Below are 20,399 nucleotides of genomic sequence, written 5' to 3' on the forward strand. Positions count from 1 at the left end.
GCCGAGGTGGGTGGATCACCTGAGGCCAGGAGCTCAAGACCAGCCTGGTCAACATGGCGAAACCTCGTCTCTACTAAAAATACAAAAATTAGCTGAGTGTGGTGACGCACACCTATAGTCCTAGCTACTCAGGAGGCTGAGGCATGAGAATCGCTTGAACCCAGGAGGTGAAGGTTGCAGTGAGCCGAGATCATGCCATTACACTCTACCCTGGGCAACAGATGGACAGCCTGTTTAAAAAAAAAAAAAGAAATAAAAAAGGAAAAAAGAAAGGTGGAGGCCTCTATGCTAGGCTATCCTCACCAGCAGTTTGGGACAATCTCATCTCAGGGAGATCAGGGCAAGAGCACCCTCTTTGTTCCCACTTGTCCCAGGCGTGACCACTTGACTTCAAGCAGAAAGATAAATTACAAGTAAAGGACCCCAGTATAGACTAGACCCTGGGGAAGGATGGCCAGGCTTCTGATCCAGGCAGAAGAGGGCAGGGCTAGCACATCAGAGGCTGAGCTGGCTGAGCCACCACCCCATCCCACCAGCCAACAAGGAATCTGCAGCAGCCTTGTGGTTTAAAAGGAAAGCCAGCACAAAATAGGGTGTAGAAACAGAGCAGCATGACGTCACCCTGCCATTGTACTCAGCCTGTTTGGATGCTCAGAAAGCCTTAGGGGTGGGTGTGGGCTCCACAATGAAACAGTGAACTTGGGGAAGAAAGAGCCAGTTCAAAGAAGAGCTCAGAGAGGTTTAAGTTAGTCTTGTAGGGAAAGGTTCAAGAATCTAGGAAGACTTAGCTGGGGGAAGGGAACGCCTGAATGGGGAACCAGAGTTCAGTTTAAAAGCTATCTGTTGGCCGAGTGCAGTGGCTCGCACCTGTAATCCCAGCATTTTGGGAGGCTGAGGCGGGTGGATTACCTGAGATCAGGAGTTGGAGACCAGTCTGGCCAACATGGTGAAACCCCGTCTCTACAAAAAAATTAGCCGGGAGTGGTGGCATGCGCCTCTAATCCCAGCTACTCGGGAGGCTGAGGCAGGGGAATTTTTTGAACCAGGGAGGTGGAGGTTGCATTGAGCCAAGATCACACCACTGCACTCCAGCCTGGGTGACAGCGAGACTTCCATCTCAAAAAAAAAAAAAAAAAAAAAAAAAAAAAGCAGCTATCTGTGTATCTGTGGAGGGTCTTTTATGTACTAGCTCTCTGTAGGGCCCAGCAGCAGAAGGGGAGACTCTAATCTCTTCCTTAGGAACTTAGGATTCGCTGTGACAAAAAGTGGCACATGCATGAAATGATCAAAATGAACACTTGATATAGGATTAATTGCTGAGCGGAGTGTTCCAAACAGTAAGTTATAGGAGTTCACTGAAGGGAGTTTCACTTGGGCTAAATTGGCTAGGGAAGACTTTGAGGAGAAGACTGGACTTGGGCCAAGGGTCTGGGGGAGGTAAGCTAAGCTTTGACAGGGCAGAGTGGAAACTGAAGAGCAATCCAGGTAAAAGGAAGGGCATGAGCACAGGCAGAGGTGGGAATGGTGATAGGATATTCAGGAGGCAGAGGGGACAGGGCTGGCTGCAGATGGCCATAGGGCATTAGGTGGTGGCAGGACATGCTGCTGGTGATCATGTGGCAGCTGCAGTTGAAACTGAGGGGCTGTGGCTCAGCTGAGAGGCCATGCCACATGGCGGAGCATAGAAAGAGATGAGCAGAGGGTGACAAAACCAGGCTTGGGCAACACCCATGACTGGGGGTGGCAGAAGGAATTAAGCCAGTGGAGGAGATGGAAAGCGAGTGGCCCAAAGTGGGAGAACCAGTAGAGCATTGTTGCAGAAGTGGCGAGAAGGAGGTGGTCACTAGTGCCTCAGGCTTCTAAGAGTAGGAGCCAACATGGCCTGAAAAGATATATTTTACCCATTTGTGGGGCTGCTGGGCCCTCAGTGGGAAGGTCCTAAGGAGAGGTGGACGCAGAAGTCAAACTGAGCCAGACTCAGGAGCAAGCAAGTGGGAAGAATGTGACCAAGTAGTGTCTGACCATGTTAGACAAACTTATTAGGGAAAGGACCAGAGCTGGATGATACTTGTCAGTTATTACATGGAAAAGGGAGACTAGTTAGGTATTCTTAGCCTGGAAAAGGAGAGGATAAACTGGGGAAGCGCCTTTCCCCAACAGTTACTGTGTGCCTATCATATGCCAGGCAGAAACTGCTAGGAGCTTATAATGGCAAACAGTCCCTACCCCTTCAGTCCAGTGGGGAAAACGACAGTAAACATGTAAATGAATGAGGAAGCAAAAGTACTGTTGGCCGCGCGCGGTGGCTCACACCTGTAATCTCAGCACTTTGGGAGGCCGAGGTGGGCAAATCATTCGAGGTCAGTTCGAGACCAGCCTGGCCAACATGGTGAAACCCCATCTCTACTAAAAATACAAAAATTATCTGGGTTTGGTGGCAGGTGCCTGTAATCCCAGCTACTCGGGAGGCTGAGGCAGGAGAATCTCTTGAACCTGGGAGGCGGAGGTTGCAGTGAGCTAAGATCATGCCATTGCACTCCAGCCTGGGTGACAGAATGAGACTCTGTCCCCCCAACCCCCAAAAAACAAAAGTACTGTGGATGACAACGCATGCACTAAGAGAGTTAACAGGCAGATGTGGTAGAGAGGACTGAGGGGAGGCCTGAGGAGGTGGTGTTTCTACTGAGACCTGAAAAATGAGATGGAGCTAGCCATGGGAAGAACCAGGAGAAGGGCATTCCAGGCAGGAGATGCAAAGATCCTTAAGCAGAAAGGACTGGCCGTGTTTGAGGAACAGGGAGGGGAGAACGGCTGGCAGGCAGAAGTCAAGAGTACTTGTGAGGCCTTGTAGTGCAATGGGAAGGCCACCAAAGCTTTTAAAGCTGGGGATGAACAGGATAAAATGAACTTTAAAAAGTCACACTGGCTGCCTTGAAGAGACAGGAATTACAGTGAGACAAGACCAGTAGAAGACCTACTTCCACTGGAAGGCTCCTGCATGAGTCCAGGTGACAGGTGACATCACTTGGTCTAGGGTGGTGTCAGGGATCTAGAAAATACTCTAATTCCTCATGGAATGCTATGGAGGATGGAGTTGGGAATGGTGAGGTTTTGCAACCTAGAAGGAGCATGGTACGTGGTGAGGTGGGGGCTGGATATACCAGCGGGGAAGTATGGAGGGTCTAAGGCCTGAGCTGGCCCTGTATTCTGCTATGGGCATCGCTAGGTCTGAGCAGAGCTCTTTCCTCCATCTAGCTCATCATCCATGGTAGCTTTGCCCTGATCCAGCTGCCCCGTTTCCACATCTTCTTCCTGGTCCCAGCAATCATCTATGGGGGCGACAAGCTGGTGAGCCTGAGCCGGAAGAAGGTGGAGATCAGCGTGGTGAAGGCGGAGCTGCTGCCCTCAGGTACCAGCCTGGCAGGAGATCAGCTTGGTGACACTGAGGGAGCTGACCGGGCAGAGGCAGAGTCTAGACCGCACAGTCTCCTGGTCGGGCCCAGTGGAGCTGGCAGGTGCCTTGGGTGGCAGGGACAAAGGAGCTGGTAGGGGCAAGGCGCAGTGGCTCACGCCTGTAATCCCAGCACTTTGGGAGGCCAAGGCAAGTGGATCATGAGGTCAAGAGATCGAGACCATCCTGGCCAACATGGTGAAACCCTGTCTCTACCACAAAAAAAAAATACAAAAATTAGCTGGGTGTGGTGGCATGCACCTGTAGTCCCAGCTACTCAGGAGGCTGAGGCAGGAGAATCGGTTGAACCTGGTAGGCAGAGGTTGCAGTGAGCTGAGATCGTGCCACTGCACTCCAGCCTGGCAACAGAGTGAGACTGTGTCAAAAAAAAAAAAAAAAAAAAAAAAAGGAAGGAGGGAGGGAGGGAGGGAGGAAGGAAGGAAGGAAAGGAAAGGAGGGCTGTTTGCCAGGGGACCTGAGCCTCTCTCATCGCAGAGAGCAGAGAAGCTCAGGCCAGGCTGCCCCTTGCCTGGCTGACCCTCAGCCCCAGTGCTGCCTGGGCCCCCACAGGGTGAGCTTCTGATGGGGGAGGCCTCCTTTGTCATATTCCAGAAGCAGAGCTGAGGCTGTGGGTGGGGAGCTCTCTGGAGGCCACATTGTTGCTGGGTTCAGGGCAGCAGCTTCTCACCCACCATCCCTCCCCAGGAGTGACCCACCTGCGGTTCCAGCGGCCCCAGGGCTTTGAGTACAAGTCAGGGCAGTGGGTGCGGATCGCTTGCCTGGCTCTGGGGACCACCGAGTACCACCCCTTCACACTGACCTCTGCGCCCCATGAGGACACGCTTAGCCTGCACATCCGGGCAGCAGGGCCCTGGACCACTCGCCTCAGGGAGATCTACTCAGCCCCGACGGGTGACAGATGTGCCAGATACCCAAAGGTACCAGACCCTGGCCAGACATGCCACATGCGCCCATATCCCCTTTGAAGGCTTTGGCCCGGCAGCACTAGACTCCCCGCTCTGTGCCTCCCCTCTCTGCATCTAGAGACTGGTTGTTCCAGATAATGCCACAAATCCTCCTCTTCCCCTCACTCCATATACGTATCTACCTTTCCTTTTCTCTCATTTCTGGCTTCCGATCTATGGTGGTGGCCAAGCTTAACTGAAACCCACGCCCCTCCCTACAGCTGTACCTTGATGGACCATTTGGAGAGGGCCACCAGGAGTGGCATAAGTTTGAGGTGTCAGTGTTAGTGGGAGGGGGCATTGGGGTCACCCCTTTTGCCTCCATCCTCAAAGACCTGGTCTTCAAGTCATCCGTCAGCTGCCAAGTGTTCTGTAAGAAGGTGAGTACTGCCCCCACTTCCCACCAACCCATGGCCCCTTCTTCCTTGTCATGGTACCCATCTGTGCCTTTCTCCTCTGCCTTTGTTCTTGGCTTCCCTGAACTGGGCAGGGGCAAGTTGGTTTGAAACCTGGGGTTGGGTGGTGAGTGGGGTGGTATCAGGATATCCCTAGACCCTTTAGGACAGAACTGGTTTGCGGATGCCTCCAGAATCCTGCCTGGTTTACAAAGACTCTTTCCCTCAGTTAGGGGTGCTCCACATAGGATTTGCTTCTGGGAGTTCCTCCAGGCAAGGTTGGAGGGGGTAAAGAAACCCATTCCTTCTTACAAAGGAGCCCAGCACTTGGAGCCTTATTGGGCTGGGAGAGGGAAGGGCATGTTGGGTGGAGCACAAGTGAAACTGGCTCAGCTCTCAAGAGGAACAGGAGGAGTGGTGGCAAGGCAGGGCTGGTGGGCCAGGTTGGCCCCAGGAACACAGCTCAAACCCTCAGGCCCTCACACGGGTCCTTTCACACCAGCCTGGACCTGGTGGCAGGCCCCTGCTCGTTTCTCTGGGCCTGGCAGGTGAGTCAGGGGTGCTGGAATGCAGTGGGCAGAGGCCCAGCCCATGTGCTGTCAGCATTCAGAGGGTGACAGCTCCCCTCCTGTCCTCTGCCCTCTGCTTCTTAACTATACAGCCCCGCTTTCCTCCCTCGGAAGCTGCAGAGGGCTCCCCGCAGGGCAGCTTCCACCCGCTGGTATCTCTTTGAGCCCATTCCCATCTGCTCAGGCAGCTGCTGGGTCTCCCTGAGGCTGCTCTGTGAAATGCCCTTTAGCCACTAGGTGCCTGGCAGCCTGACCAGGGACCACTGGAGGGAGCTGTAGGACAGGCTGAGCATGAAAGCTGCTTCCCACCCCACAGACCATCAGCTCCCAATCACCAAGGGATCTTTCCCATGGCCCTGGGGTCTCTCACTTCCACCTCTCTATGCCCTGGGCCAACTCCATCTCTGGCCTCAGAGCCTGGCCCCGTGGCCCATACACTCCATCTCCCCAGGCTGTCTAGGGAAGGGCACAAGCTAGCTGTGGTCAGAAGAGTTCTATCAGTATGGACACCCCTGGGGTTTAGGGAGACTGAGCTGAGATGGGTCCTGAACTCCAGCCCTGTGTCCCCAGATCTACTTCATCTGGGTGACGCGGACCCAGCGTCAGTTTGAGTGGCTGGCTGACATCATCCGAGAGGTGGAGGAGAATGACCACCAGGACCTGGTGTCTGTGCACATCTACATCACCCAGCTGGCTGAGAAGTTCGACCTCAGGACCACTATGCTGGTATGTCAGGGCCCACCAGGAGGGTATGCGGGCCACTGTCTGAGCTAGGAATTGACCCTAGCTGTGCCTGGCTGAACTTTGTTCCACCCTTCCCTACCATAGTACATCTGTGAGCGGCACTTCCAGAAGGTTCTGAACCGGAGTCTATTCACAGGCCTGCGCTCCATCACCCACTTTGGCCGTCCCCCCTTTGAGCCCTTCTTCAACTCCCTGCAGGAGGTCCACCCCCAGGTCAGTCCAACCCATAACCAGGTTCTCTTCCTCTTTATCATTTGGGGTCTGAGCAAAGCTCCCAAACCTTCCCCATCGAGGAAGAAATCGACTGCTGATGAGAACCCATCCCCTGGGAGATTGGTGGGGTAATGGAATGGAAAGGATAGGTGGGTGTCACCCTTAGGTGCTAAAGGAGGAGGCAGGCAATAGGGACTTGCCATCTCTGAAGCCAAGATGTATTGTCCAGAAGGAAGAGCTCAATCATTGAGCTAGTCCTCGCCAAAAACTCGGGGCTACCCTCACCACTACCCTCACCAATACTGAGTCAGTCCTCACCCTGGACACTGAGGGAACCTTTACCATGAGCACTGGGCTAGTCACTACTCACAAATACTGGTCTAGCCCTCCATGAGACCCTGAGCTGTTCTTCAACTTGAACACTGATTAACCCAACCTCTATTAGAAATGTTGATCTAGCACTTAGCAAAATTCCACTAGACCTATAAACACTGAGCCAGCCCTCACCATGCATAGTACAAAGCAAACCATCAGGAGCACTGCTGGCTTTTTTTTTTTTTTTAATTTAAAGAAAGGGTATTGCTCTGTTGCCCAGGCTGTAATGCAGTGATGCAATACCAGTTTACTGTAACCTCCAACTCCTGGGCACAAGCAATCCTCCTGCCTCAGCCTCCCAAGTAGCTGGGACTACAGGAGTGCACCACTATGCCTGGCTAATTAAAAATAAAAAAATTAGAGTCAGGGATGTTGCTATGTTGCCCAGGCTGGTCTTGAACTAGGGAGCTACCCCTTCCTCTGAACACTGCGTTATCCCTGCCTCTGAGCAAAGAGTTAGCCTCCACTTATTCCTCCTGCAACAGGTCCGGAAGATCGGGGTGTTTAGCTGTGGCCCCCCTGGCATGACCAAGAATGTGGAAAAGGCCTGTCAGCTCATCAACAGGCAGGACCGGACTCACTTCTCCCACCATTATGAGAACTTCTAGGCCCCTGCCCGGGGGTTCTGCCCACTGCCCAGTTGAGCAGAGGTTTGAGCCCACACCTCACCTCTGTTCTTCCTATTTCTGGCTGCCTCAGCCTTCTCTGATTTCCCACCTCCCAACCTTGTTCCAGGTGGCCATAGTCAGTCACCATGTGTGGGCTCAGGGACCCCCAGGACCAGGATGTGTCTCAGCCTGGAGAAATGGTGGGGGGGCAGTGTCTAGGGACTAGAGTGAGAAGTAGGGGAGCTACTGATTTGGGGCAAAGTGAAACCTCTGCTTCCAGACTTCAGAAACAAATCTCAGAAGACAAGCTGACCTGACAAGTACTATGTGTGTGCATGTCTGTATGTGTGTTGGGGCGGTGAGTGTAAGGATGCAGTGGGAGCATGGATGCTGGCATCTTAGAACCCTCCCTACTCCCATACCTCCTCCTCTTCTGGGCTCCCCACTGTCAGACGGGCTGGCAAATGCCTTGCAGGAGGTAGAGGCTGGACCCATGGCAAGCCATTTACAGAAACCCACTCGGCACCCCAGTCTAACACCACAACTAATTTCACCCAAGGTTTTAAGCACGTTCTTTCATCAGACCCTGGCCCAATACCTATGTATGCAATGCTCCTCAGCCCTCTTCTCCCTGCTCCAGTAGTCTCCCTTCCAAATAAATCACTTTTCTGCCTTCAGGGTTTCTTTATTCTGCCCTAGGACCGGAAGGGGCATGGGGAGAGGAAGCCACTAACCCAGCCAGCTCACCAGGCTGGCCCAGACATCTCTCAAGCTGCCCAGTGTCCTGAGTAAAGGAGCTGGCCCAAGGCAAAGTGCCCCAGCTAGCAATCCCTTCCCCGGCCCAGGGGTGCCCTTCCTGACAGAGGGCCTGTCAGCCACTAGTGTGAGGCCTGGTGAGCCTGCTCAGGAGGGGCAGAAACAGAGGGTGTGGAAGCTTCTGGAGGAGGTTGGCTGGGGAAGAGAACGGGGTCGGGGGCAGACTCAGCTGGAGTCTATAGGGAGCCAGAGCCGCCTGGCTTGTTACCAGGACCTCAGTCACTCCCAGCCCTTCTCTGAGCAAAGGGAGAGTTGGGCACCTGTGCCTACATGGCTCTTCCAGGCAGTGAGATGATAGCAGGAGACAAATGAACACATCACCCAACCTCTCTGGGCCTGTTTTCTCATCTGCAAAATGGCTGGATGCTCTCCAAGTCGACTTAAAGACAGGACAACCCTCTGAGGGAATTTCTCTGAGTGCGCCCCTTTTTTTTTTTGAGACAGAGTTTCGCTCTTGTTGCCTACGCTGGAGTGCAATGGCACGATCTTGGCTCACCGCAACCTGTCTCCCGGGTTCAAGCGATTTCTCCTGCCTCAGCCTCCCGAGTAGCTGGGATTACAGGCACGCACCACCACGCCCGGCTAATTTTGTATTTTTAGTAGAGACGGTATTTCTCCATGTTGGTTAGGCTGGTCTCGAACTCCCGACCTGAGGTGATCTGCCCGCCTCGGCCTCCCAAAGTGCTGGGATTACAGGCGTGAGCCACCGCGCCCGGCAAGAGAGTGCCCAATTTTAAGTGATCCTTCCTATTGCTTCCACAAAACGCCTGCATACCACATATCCTCAATTTCGAGAAAATAGCCACTGGTTTAGAAACTCTCAAGTACTGTGATTCACAGCACACTTTGGAGGTTGCACGTTTAGGTTCTGGAAGAGGCCCTCAGACGGCCCTTTGGCTCAGCGGTCCCCCGAAGGTGCCTGTCCAGCATGTCGAGGGGTCCTGACCAGCCTGCCCGCGGGGTGGGGCGGGCCTGGGGCAGCCTGAGAGCCGCTCCGCCTGGCGACCCAGTGGGCCTCCCCGGGCCCGCCCAGAGGCCTGGGCGGGTTCCAGCGGTGGGCGCCGGTCGGGGTGCGGCCTAGGCCGCGGGCCGGTGGTTAGGGGCTCGCAGGCCGGCCACGCCCGAGGGTCTGCCCGGGACAAACCCTTCCGTTAGGGCGCGAGGGAGGCGCTGCAGGCCCTCAGTTCCTCGGCCAAGGAGACAAGCGCGGCCCCCGCGGCCCGTCCCGCCAGCCTTCCCGCCTCCGCCGGCGCGCGGCTTCCGCGTGGCAGGCCGCCCCGCTCCCCGGCCTGGCGCGCTGCCTCTTTGTCTCTCCGCGCCTCCCCTCCTCCCAGACAAATGGCTGTTGGCAGGAAATTGGACGCGCTCGGGGGAAGCCGCGCGCCGCGGGGAGGGGGCGCCGCGCGGCCAGCGGGCCTCGGGTGCCCCCAGCCGGGGCGGGGGCGGCGGGGATGTTTTGACATCTCGTCAAAGAAAGGAACTTGATGCTTCGAAAGTGCTTTTCACAGCCGGGCTGTGTCTGCTCCAGAGCTGATTTATACGCAGAATCTGCGCTCGCTTCTCCGCTCCCTCCCCCGTCAGCCCGGGGACGGCGCCGGAGGCGCGGGCGCGGCTGTGCCCGGCAGGATCGGGTTTATTTATTGCCTCTGGCCCGGAGCCGGGGCGGCCTGGGGACTGCACAGTTCCCTCTGCCCGAGCCCCTCCCCTTCTCTCCCCACCCCCCAAAGCCGGCTGCTTCCCAGGGGCCTGTCTTCCCCAAACCTCTTACCAGACTCTGGGCGGAGCCCTCCGACGGTCTGGGGTGGAAGTCGGGGACGGAGGCAGAGAGGTGGTAAGGCGCCCCAAGGGGCCGAATTCTGCACTACCTCGCACGGACCCAGTGGGGAGAGGGTGGTGGTGGTGGAGGTCACCACCTCTGCCCTAAGGTCGGAAAGGAGCCGGAGCTGCCAGTCTGAAACTCCCTACCATCCCAGTAGCTCTGGAACCCCCTTCCTCCAGGGGCTATCCTTTCTCTCCAGGGATTCCTCTTTCCCCAGCTCCAGACAACCCCTTACTCCAAGGCCCCAGGAGCCCTTTCCCTTTAGAATAAATTAAGGAATCTCCAGCTTCTACTGGATCCCAGGAGAAGAAAGGTTTGAAAGATCACGTCCCTGGCAAGAGCCACAGCCCTCAGCCAGGTGATGGGCACAGGGCTGGGTACAGGTCTATCACAGTGCCCTGGCTTCACATCTAAAGAGTCCGGATGGCCACAGGGTAGAGCAGGGACATGTGTTCGGCTCCCTTAATGGGTAGCTTGCGGCTGGCATAGTGGTGCACAATTTCAGGGACGCTGCTGAAGGGCGGGCTGTTCTGGCCCAGCACATATTTGTGTTCCTTGGTTCGGGACAGCTTCATGTGCATGAATCCCTGGCTGCTCCTGGGAAGAGGAGAGGAGACTTTGGTGAGTGGGGGCTCTCCTCAGCCCCCTCATCCATCCACCCAGTAACCCTCCCCAACCCTACAGCAAATGTGGTGGTTCCGAAGCCAGCTGAGAATGACAGGTGATTAGGGGAGGTGGAGGTCAGTCCAGAAAGCAGGGGTGGTGGTGGTGTAAGTAGGTAGCACTGGGCATTGGCTTTGTGGTAAGGCCACTGGTTGTGCCAAGAATGTGTGTATAGGGAGCATACAGGGTGTGTGCAGGTGGAAACTGAGCGACCAGCACCTCCCCCGACCCCTGCTGGCCAACCCTGGGGTCCAGGCACCCCGGCCCTCCAGCCTCTGTGGCCAGGGCCAGTTTAACCTCACCTTTCTTGAGCTCTTTGGTAGGACACCCGTGAGGGGCTCCTGGTGACTCATGTGGAACCACATATGCCCTTGGCAGGAGGGTGGACAGATGTGACAACCAAGCTAGTCTTCATTGGGGCTCTCCCTTCTAATGACTAGGGGGAAGGGGGAAGCTGATCTGGAAGACCCCCCAAAATCTGGGAGTGCTCAGCTGCCTCCTCCTGGGGATATCCCTTCACTCTCTTGCTTTCTGGGTCTTGGACCAAGCCCCTAGCTCATTTATCCGGCCCTTCAGCCTACAATGACTTCACTCCCTTGCTCAGAGGAGACATGCTCCTGCCTCTGCCATCTCCCTGCCACAGCCAGGAAATCAGCATTAGTGCCTGGCCCCGCCCTCAAGACAAGGACCCCACTGCTCAGAGCTCTGGCTAGCTCCTAAATGTCCAGGGACCCTCGGCCCATGAGAGGGCATGGGAGTGAGACCTCCAAGAACCTTTGTCTAAACCACCACAGGCTTGGTCTGTCAGGCCTCAGGTCTGAAACTCAAGCACAGGCAAGGGGTGAGGAATGTTTTGGGGAGCCCTGAAGCCTAAGTGTTATATACTGCTGGCCAGAGCCTACTTGGGGACAAGGACGGGGCTTAGAGGTTAGTGTGGAAAGCAGAACCAGTGAGGGAGCTGCCTCCATCCTGAGGTCCACCCCCCGGAGAAGTGAGGCTGGCAATCCTTATCACTTGCCTCCCCTGACTGGGTACAAGGCTCTGCCCGGACCCATTTCACCAGGCCCACAAGCGAGAAATCAGAGTGGGGAGGCTGAAGGGAGGTGACAGATGGGAGGAAAAACGGAGGCCCCAAACTCTATCCCTCTGCCTCCCCAGGCATGGAGTCCTCAGGAGCCTAGCAGACTGCTAGGAAAAGGCCTGAGGCCCCAGGGCTGGGAGTCAGGGTGCAGGGTGGCCGGGGCCATCTGTAGGTCTGAGATAACTAGGGCTGACAGCACAGGCCCTTGGGGAAAGGAGCCAAGGGCCTGAGGCAAACAGCCCCTGTGGGTGGTGGAGAGGGGAGGCAGTGTCCCCTGTCAGGCTCAAGGCTGTGGGCAGCAGCATGGGCCCTGCTTTCCTTCACCTCTTCTCAGTTTGGGGCTGACCCCTTCTCCCTTAGTCCACCTGGGGAATTGTCTCTCCTAAAAGCTGCACATTGTATCTTCTCAAAAGACAGATCTGGCTAAGAAGGACAAGTGGCCAGAGAGCTCAGCCGCCATCTGGATAACCAACCTCCTGCAGAGGGGATGGCTGTGCTTTCCCACCTCCTGGGACAAAGTCCCAAGGGTCCATTAGGACACAGCAAAGCCCTTGCCAGACCCTCAGGGTACTGGGGTTAGGACCAGCTGGGCTGCAGGACCAGGCTGGCAAGCCTTTTTGAGGAAGTTGTTTAATTACCAGTGAAAGCTCTTCCATTAGTGAGAGAAGAGAAACCATAATTCTATTTCAGAGAAGCCATTTATATGCAAACGAGGCTCTGGCAGACAGATGCGGAGCCAGGTCAGCCAGGGTGGGAGCAGGTCTCCAGGCCTGCCTTGCCATTTTACCTCCCAGGCTAAGGCAGGCTGGCAGGGCTCCACTTTGGGAGCCAGACCCCTGGCATCTCCCCTTACCTTGGCCTGTACCAAACAATAATATGGCACTGGTGGAGCCCTGGAATACCATAGTTTGTGGAGTCAGACAGAGCTGGGTTCAAATCCTGGTTTGGGGACTTTATTACCGGGTGGCCTTGGGCAAGTAACAAACCTCTTTGAATTTATTTTCTGTCTATAAAAAAGAGATCTATCTTGCAGGGGAGTAGTTGGTTTAGAAATGGTATACAGGCTGCTTGGTATGCTCCATGAACTTTATAATTTTTAAAGCAATACACATTTCTGAGGTTATGTAAATCAAATTTTTGACAAAAACTTTTCTGGGAAATGCTTCTTTGATTTTACAATTCAGACTCCTAGAGTATGACAGCTGGAAAAAAAGCGATAATCTATCAACTCATTTGGCAAAGGTAGAAACCGAGGCTCGGAGATATTAAGTGATTTCCCTAGGATCACATAGCTAGTGTATCAAATCCAAGAATAGAACTCAGGTTACCTGACTATAGTCCGGCACTTTTTCTATTATCTTTTTCTTTTTTTTTTTTTTTTTTTTCTGAGACAGAGTCTTGCTGTTGTTGGCCTGGGCTGGAGTGCAATGGCGCAATATCGGCTCACTGCAACCTCCGCCTCCTGGGTTCAAGCGATTTTCCTGCCTCAGCCTCCCGAGTAGCTGGCATTACCAGTGCTCACCATCACACCCAACTAATTTTTGTATTTTTAGTAGAGACGGGGTTTCACCATGTTGGTCAGGTTGGTCTCGAACTCCTGACTTCAGGTGATCCACCTGCCACGGCCTTTGAAAGTGCTGGGATTACAGATGTGAGCCAACACACCCACCACTTTTTCTATTATCTTTGAGGGAAGTTGAATAATTATCCCCCAAATATGTCTTGTTTAGCAGCCCCAAGTTCCCATAGATTGGATTTGTCTGAATGGGAGGGTATATCTGTACTCTGATGGTCCCAGAGAATGTGGTAGAAAGTGGTGCAGGTGTCCTACTAGTGATGGTGGGGGGCAAATGAACATACCACCCCACTGGCTTCCTAACGGGGTGCAGGGTCTACCAGGCAGAACTCCTGGTTGCCCAGGGCAGGGCTGGCCATGCTACCAGGGAGTCTGGGAGGCTGATCTGCTGCTCCTGGGAGGAAAGCCTGATGGGGAGGGAGGGCCTTGCCTCCTCTACGTCTTCCAGGACCCAAAAGCTCAGACACCCCCCATCCCCGAACACACACACAGACACACACACTCTTCCTCAGAGTAAACAGAAATACTTTGTGTCCACTGCCCTGCCCTCCTTCCAGGAACCAGCCCCCCCCAACACCCTACAGACTCCCTCACGCAAAGCTCCTATCTCCTTGCCTATGCTTCTAGAACATCTTGGGCTTCCATTAATAATGACAGTGATAATTTATTGAGCCCTTAGCACTATGCTAAGCACTTCCCATGCATTATTTCACCTAATCCTTCCCTATATTATCCCCCATCCATTTCATTAGTAAGGAAACTGAGGCCTAGAGAGGTTAAGGGGGCCAGGCCACACAACTAGAACAGAACCCTTCTGAGCTGGATGCTGCGGATCAACTATTTCTCCCAATGGACTCTGAGCTCCTTGAGAGCAGGGGCTGAGTCTCAGACATCTCAGGACCCCCAGTGCCTGGGGATTGTTCATGGGGGATGGGGACCTCCCCAGCTTGGTTGGGCATAAGGGGAATACTGGAGTCCCCTTCCACCCTGCTTGCTGTCCCTGAAACCACAACTGTCCCCACTCACTTGAGGGAGAGGGAGAAGTCATTCTTGCTGGTCTCACTGTTGCGCACCAGGTAGCTGGCCTCTTTGCACAGCCGGAGCAGGTTCTCGGCGTCGGTTCGGCTGATGGCCCCGTGATACCAGCTAAGGATGAGAGAGAGGAAGGGGGGCATCTCTGCTGGGTCCCTCGCTGTCCAGGCCCACCCATTGTGGGTGTCCCCTGTAGGGAAGCCAGTGCCAGGAGGGGAGGAGTGGGGAGGGAGTCCCCAGCTGGACACAGACACTCACACCTGGTTTTCCAGAGGCAGTGCTGGATCTGTCCACTCCCCCAGGGGGCTGCTGGGCTCCATGCTTAGGGGTTTGGCTGACTTGGGGTTCCCTGCAGAGAGTCGGGGAGGTAGCCGCCCCTTCTCCTCCCGGCCAGGTGACAGGCAGCTCTTCTCCGGTCCTTCAAACTGGGCTGTGGGGAACATATCAATCATGGACTCTAAGGACCCTAGAGGTCCTCAGAGGTCCCTATTGAATAGCCAGTGCCCAACCCCTACTTCTTCCAGCCCCAGAAAGGATCAAAGGAATGCTCTAGGAGGGCAGCCCATGCTGAAGGGCCTGACTGGCTCTGGGGACGTAATCCTGGATCTATCCCCTGGTGGGGGTGGGCCCAGCCTTCTGTGCCACACAGGGTGTTGCAGTCCCCACATTGTGGGAGGAGAGAGCAGAGGAGCAACCTGAGAAACCATGCACGCTTCTCCCTCCAAAGCAGCTGACTGCCTTCCCCCAGTCCATCCTCTCAGGGTGGCTTCAGCACTGATAATATTGTTTCTTTCTCCTCCTCAGAGTTCATTACCGTTCTCCAAATCACCCTGCCAAGCCATTCTGTAGAAATGACTTATCGATCTGAGAACAATTATCTGGTTCCCCTTGGTGCCATCCTGACAGGCTAATCCCGCCCAAAGCCACCAGCCAGCCTGTCCCTCCCCGACCCCCAACGTTGCTGCCCACTGGCTCCCCTCCCCAACCCACAGAGGCCCAGAGGCAGCACCTCTGCCCTCCCAGACCAGGGGAGCCTGATGGCTGAGCCCATAAGGGAAGGCTGAGCCCCCGTGGGTCCCCAGGCACACATGCGCACGTGCACGTACGGACAGACACCCTCCTTCATCCCATATTTTAAAATACAACATTCAGGCACAAATGTACGAACAGATGCTCATGCCTCTGCACACACACCCTTGGGTGCCCATTCTGGGCAGAACTGAACATAGAGGAAGAATTAAGTGCGTTCTTTCTCCTCATTTGGGCTCTTTTTCTCTCCTTGTAGCACTTTGAAGCCCTTACTCTCTTTCAGTCACCAGATGCAAGGTCAGATCTGCTCCTCTGCGCCAAGGAGTTCCACACTTGCTGTGTCTGTCCCACCCCCAGCTCAGGAGTATTTGCATTGCTGAAGGAGCTTGTCAAGCAAAGCTCTCCCCAAAGTGAATTTAAAATGGTGGATTTTTGTAGCATGGTGAGGAACACATTAGAAAGGGGCCTCCCTGTAGAAGACACCATCCCACAGCTGTGGGGAAGGGAGGAACGTGCATTTTGTCTCTTCCTTCTTCCCAAATGAGATTCTTCCTGGGGTCTCCAAATCCTGCCCCACCTCTCAGCTCCTCCAACCCAACCCACAGGGCCTGGAGGGGTGAGGACATGTCACCCTGGCCAGAAGCCCCCCAGGACCCACCGCTGCTGTCCTCCAGGCTGGGCTCAGGGAGGGGCGAGGCTGGACCGGAGATGTCCCTGTCCCCATCAGGCAGGGAGGGGCTGCTGTCCAGCTGTCCCACAGGTGGAGGCCAAGGTAGGTCTTTGATGACCTTAATGTCAACTGGAGCCAGCAGCAGAAGTGAGAAGAGAGACAGACAGTGACAGAGACAGAAAGAGGTAGAGGTTGAGACACCAAAACCCAGAGCCAGGACACAGGACAGCCTAGAAATGAGGAGGGGCAGAGGCAGAGGCAGAGGCAGGTCAGCTTTTGGGGAGGCACTCAAGGGCTGGGCAGAGCCAACGTTGACCACACCAGGTTGGCCTGGTCAGAGGGAGGGAGGCTTGGGTGGCAAGCAGCAGGATGCAGGGGCTTGCACTGTCAGCCCGTGGGTCCCCTTCATTTGACCTCTCACAAGCCTCCAGGGCCCAAAGGTACCAGGAACAAAGGAAATGAAGGACTAAGAGTGACCAGCACCTCCCAACACCACATCTGGGTTCCCATAGCCTCCTGGCACCCACAGCCTTGCCTCCCTTTCTCCTTTTCCCCACAGCCTGGGAACTCGCAGGCAGCAAGAAAGAGCCAGCCTCGCCTCAGGTTGTCAGGATTACTCAGACTTGAGGGCAGATGTTTTATTGAAATTTAATCCCCACCCCCCATCCTGAGAAGAGTGATGCCACTGGCGGCTGCTGGACTGCTAACGAGGTTTCCTAATGACGAGCATAGATTTTCCCATTAAGCAATCCAAACAGTATTGATTCTCCAAGGAGACTTCTGGAGATAAACGGCCCATCCTCAATGGTGTGTGCTTTACAGGAAGAATATTAGAATCCTGTGGTTTTCCAGTCTGGCTGTCAGGGTGGGGAGGGCAGAGGAGGGCTGGGTCCAGCTCCAGGATGAGCCCCTTGCCCAAGCAGGGGAGAGGGGCATATGCAGGCAGGAGTGAAGTCGAATGGCATTTGAGCCCTTTATGTTCTCCCTGAATCAAGGACCCAGGAGCAAAAGCCCTCTCCCTACTCCAGGCTCTTGCTCCACCCACCTCAGACCACTAACATGAACTTTTCCATGGTGGACTTGGACTTGGGATGGACAGAAGAAACCTGATCTTCATTTGGCAATCAAGAGATTTCTCACAGCCTCACTCTGCTCCTCAGAAATCTCCTTGGGGCCAGACACCCCTGGTCCGCCAGGGCCTACCACTGGGAGGCAGAGCCCTAGAATTCAGGTTACACCCATAGCTGTCTTTATTGTTTGAAGTAAGTGCCTTCTTTTGTTAAATGTAAGTATTTTAACATATGTCACGAGTTTCATAAGTTTGTTTTGGAATTTATTTTTAAATATACCCAGTCCCCAAAAGAGAGAAGTAGTCTAAGCCTCTTAGCTTCCAAGAGGTGGTGATGCAGGGGAATGCCTTCATCCTTCTCCTGTACCCATTCCTTGACCCTGCACACAGCGCTGTGTCCACACTGCCAACCCCACCCCCTATGGTACAGAACTCAACTACATTTCCCTGGAGTCCTGATCCTGGGCCTCTCTGGGTTCCTGGGGTCCACTCCTTCCATTCTCTTGAGCCTGGAAAGCTGCTCAGAGGCCCCAGCTGACCTGCCCTCTCCACCAGGACTCACCTGCAAAGGCTTTGGAAATCCGCTCCTTCTTCCACTCCCAGGGCTGGTCATACTCCTCAGGGGGCCTCTCATCATCCTCTGGCAGGCGGGACTCCCGGGGCCAGGGGGCCCCCTCACCTTCCGCGGTGGCCCCATCCTCCTCTGGCTCATAGGGTGTGTCATACAGAGGCAAGGGCTGAGTTGCTGTCTCCTTGGAGCCCCGGATCTCTGCCGGAGCAGGGCAGGAAGGGAAAGGTGAGGGTTCAGCCTTGGCTTTCTGGCTCCCCTCCTCCAATGCTTCTCAGCAACAAGCCAGGCCTCCTTCAGAGGAGATGCCCTGGCTCTGGGGGGAGCTCAGCAACCACACATCCTGGGTTCCTCACCCTCAAAACACTTCTGGGTCTCTAAAAGCAAGGGAGCCAATGAAGGCAAGGGCAGGTGGGCACTAGAGTAAAAGACAGGAAAAGGATCCTGCAACAGCCAGCGAGGGCTGGGTAGCTAAAATTTATGAGTTTAGGAAACTGAGGCACAACCCTCCCGTTGTCCACTTCCTCCCTGATGCCAAGCTCCATTTGTTTCCTTCTGTCCCAAATGATATCATTCCTTTTTTCTTTTTCTTTTCTTTTTTTTTTTTTTTTTGAGACGGAATCTTGCTCTCTCACCCAGGCTGGAGTGCAATGGCACGATCTCGGCTCACTACAACCTCCGCCTCCCCGGTTCAAGCGATTCTCCCACCTCAGCCTCCTGAGTAGCTGGGATTACAGACATCCGCCATCATGCCCGGCTAATTTTTGTATTTTTGTAGAGATGGGGGGTTTCACCATGTTGGCCAGGCTGGTCTCAAACTCCTGACCTCAGGTGATCTGCCTGCCTCGGCCTTCCAAAGTGCTGGGATTACAGGCATTAGCCACCACACCCAGCCCGCAAGTGATATCATTTGACAATCACAGAATTATTCTTTGCTGCCCAGACACTGTGGACCACCCGCTCCTTGAAACTTTCCCTTCGACAAGTTACGTTCATCATCATAAAGACCTTTCACTTTGACATTCCATGGTTTCAAACTCATCACCTTCTCTAAAGCTAATTGGTTCTCTTTTTGGGATCACTGACCCAGCCCTCACCATTATTTTGTCCTTCCTGACTATCTCGAATGCTAATATCTGACCTTCAGTTGTGTGGCCTCCTGTACCACTTCAGGTCACACAAGTCACATCTGCTTCTCCAAAATGACTATTGGAAAGGCAGTGACCATCCTCCCCACGGACCCGGCAAAGACTTTCTTTCTGATCACCCCCATTTGGCCTCTCCCTAGATCCTCTCTTGGCCTCTCTTTCCCAAGACTAGGTCTTATGCATTTTTCCCTATCCTAATTCCTTGAACTGTATGCCCAGCCTCATGGCACTTGCTGCATCTGTATTTCCAGTCATTTGGGTCCATTGCCATAAAGACCTTTCGCTTTGACATACCATTGTTTCAAACTGACCACCTTCTCCAAAGCTAGTAGTTCTTTTATTGGGATCACTGACCCCAGTGAAAATATGATAAAAGCTATGGAGCTACTCCCCCAAAAAATGTGCTCCCATATTTTCACATATAATTTCAGGGCATTCATGGGGGCTTCCTGGGTTCCACACCCTCTGACCTAAATGGGGTAGTCAGCTTCTCACTTTCTCCATTTCTGTCTACTACACTGTTCTCCTTGGACCTGGCCCTCCTTCATTCTTCAAATCCCATCTGTTCTTTGCCAATACCCAGTGACCTTCACCCTCATCTTTCCGTATATAGATTACTGCTAGGGTGAACCTCCATTCTGCAGGCTTGTGTTTCCAAGAGCTCCATGGAATAATAGTCCTGGGATATTCTTGACCACTCTCTGCCTCCCTTACCACCTCTCCCAAGTAGGAAGAGCAGTTTATTGTATTGGTCAGTGAATGCACACTCTCTTTTCCTGAAGAGAAAGAACATTCTGGTTCATGCAGTCAGTGGCCTGCTCCTGTGCTGTCTTTGACCCAGAGCCCCAGGTACCCAAGGGCAGGCTCTGAGCTTGGATGGGGACAAGCTCTGGCTCTTCTTTTGCAGGGTTCCCCCACTAGGCCTACTGAGTTGCCCAAGCCTGATTGGGCAAGTTTAATTCTGTGGTGAAGTATTAAGAAGCCCATTGTGATGACACATAAGCCCATTGCAGTGAACATAAGTAATGTTCTCTAATCAACTTTATCAGTAATAAAGCTGACATTTTCATCCTGTTCCTCTCTTGCTCAAGAATTCATCATGGCTCCACTCCCCATTTTGAAGCAAGTCCAGATACCTCATTCCAGCCTATGAAGCACTGCTCCGCCCCTCTCGGACTCTCTCATCTAGGTTCCCATGCACACCCAGCACTAACATCATTTGCTCCTGAACAAACTTCCTCTCACCCTGCCTCAGGGCCGTGGCTTGGACAGACCCACCCTGTCCTCTCTGATCTCCCCTATTTGATCTCTTTCCCCTGGACTGTCTCTCAGCCTCTGTTCCCAAGACCAGATCTTACTCTTTTCTCTCTAGCCTCACTCTTTGGACTACTTGCCCAGGCTCATGGCACCCACTGTAACTGTATTTCTAGTCATCTTTCTCCAACTGCCATGAAGATGTTTCATTTCAAACTCATCCCCCCTCCCAAGGCTAGTGGTTCTCTTTTTGGGATCACTGATCCTCCCAGCCCTCACCACTCTTTTCCTTCCTATCTTGAATACTTCTATCTGAACTTCAGTTGTGTGGCCTCCTATACCACTTCAGGTCTC

General features: G+C 54.1%; 2 protein-coding genes across 30 annotated transcripts in view, besides 5 other annotated features; one reads left to right on the forward strand and one right to left on the reverse strand.

Annotated features, from left to right (window-relative positions):
• Positions 1–7,993, forward strand: part of DUOX1 (dual oxidase 1) — a 35,581-nt gene extending 27,588 nt beyond the window's left edge. For all 8 annotated transcript variants that reach the window (XM_047432690.1, XM_047432691.1, NM_017434.5 and 5 more), the window contains 6 exons: positions 3,256–3,409; positions 4,157–4,389; positions 4,638–4,796; positions 5,951–6,106; positions 6,209–6,337; positions 7,198–7,993. In XM_047432690.1, the coding sequence (XP_047288646.1) occupies positions 3,256–3,409; positions 4,157–4,389; positions 4,638–4,796; positions 5,951–6,106; positions 6,209–6,337; positions 7,198–7,320 (954 nt within the window). In that variant the 3' untranslated portion in view covers positions 7,321–7,993. The remainder of the gene's footprint in view (positions 1–3,255; positions 3,410–4,156; positions 4,390–4,637; positions 4,797–5,950; positions 6,107–6,208; positions 6,338–7,197) is intronic.
• Positions 9,051–9,850: a silencer, noted in NCBI's record as "silent region_6400". NCBI's record gives its function as "represses an Ori minimal core promoter by ATAC-STARR-seq in GM12878 lymphoblastoid cells {active_cell/tissue: GM12878}" and the evidence as "EXISTENCE:reporter gene assay evidence [ECO:0000049][PMID:35858748]".
• The window catches only part of SHF (Src homology 2 domain containing F), a 33,903-nt gene continuing 23,136 nt past the window's right edge, over positions 9,633–20,399 (reverse strand). For 3 of the 22 annotated variants that reach the window (XM_047433285.1, NM_001301168.2, NM_001301171.2), the window contains 4 exons: positions 17,638–17,844; positions 14,566–14,737; positions 14,302–14,421; positions 9,633–10,552 (listed from right to left, as the gene is read on the reverse strand). In XM_047433285.1, coding sequence (XP_047289241.1) covers positions 10,366–10,552; positions 14,302–14,421; positions 14,566–14,737; positions 17,638–17,844 — 686 coding nt within the window. In that variant the 3' untranslated portion in view covers positions 9,633–10,365. Of the gene's footprint in view, positions 10,553–12,636; positions 12,902–14,301; positions 14,498–14,565; positions 14,738–15,994; positions 16,136–16,613; positions 16,864–17,637; positions 17,845–20,399 lie in introns of those variants that run through there. The other 19 variants (NM_001394048.1, NM_001394046.1, NM_001301170.2 and 16 more) reach the window with 11 other exon arrangements.
• Positions 10,051–10,140: an enhancer, noted in NCBI's record as "active region_9350". NCBI's record gives its function as "activates an Ori minimal core promoter by ATAC-STARR-seq in GM12878 lymphoblastoid cells {active_cell/tissue: GM12878}" and the evidence as "EXISTENCE:reporter gene assay evidence [ECO:0000049][PMID:35858748]".
• Positions 10,132–10,633: an enhancer, noted in NCBI's record as "H3K4me1 hESC enhancer chr15:45459911-45460412 (GRCh37/hg19 assembly coordinates)". NCBI's record gives its function as "activates a minimal SCP1, AML or CMV promoter by ChIP-STARR-seq in naive and primed H9 embryonic stem cells {active_cell/tissue: H9 hESC(naive and primed)}" and the evidence as "EXISTENCE:reporter gene assay evidence [ECO:0000049][PMID:30033119]".
• Positions 11,391–11,993: an enhancer, noted in NCBI's record as "H3K4me1 hESC enhancer chr15:45461170-45461772 (GRCh37/hg19 assembly coordinates)". NCBI's record gives its function as "activates a minimal SCP1, AML or CMV promoter by ChIP-STARR-seq in primed H9 embryonic stem cells {active_cell/tissue: H9 hESC(primed)}" and the evidence as "EXISTENCE:reporter gene assay evidence [ECO:0000049][PMID:30033119]".
• Positions 11,994–12,596: an enhancer, noted in NCBI's record as "H3K4me1 hESC enhancer chr15:45461773-45462375 (GRCh37/hg19 assembly coordinates)". NCBI's record gives its function as "activates a minimal SCP1, AML or CMV promoter by ChIP-STARR-seq in primed H9 embryonic stem cells {active_cell/tissue: H9 hESC(primed)}" and the evidence as "EXISTENCE:reporter gene assay evidence [ECO:0000049][PMID:30033119]".

Source organism: Homo sapiens, chromosome 15 (assembly GCF_000001405.40).
Source record: "Homo sapiens chromosome 15, GRCh38.p14 Primary Assembly".
NCBI lineage: Eukaryota > Metazoa > Chordata > Mammalia > Primates > Hominidae > Homo > Homo sapiens.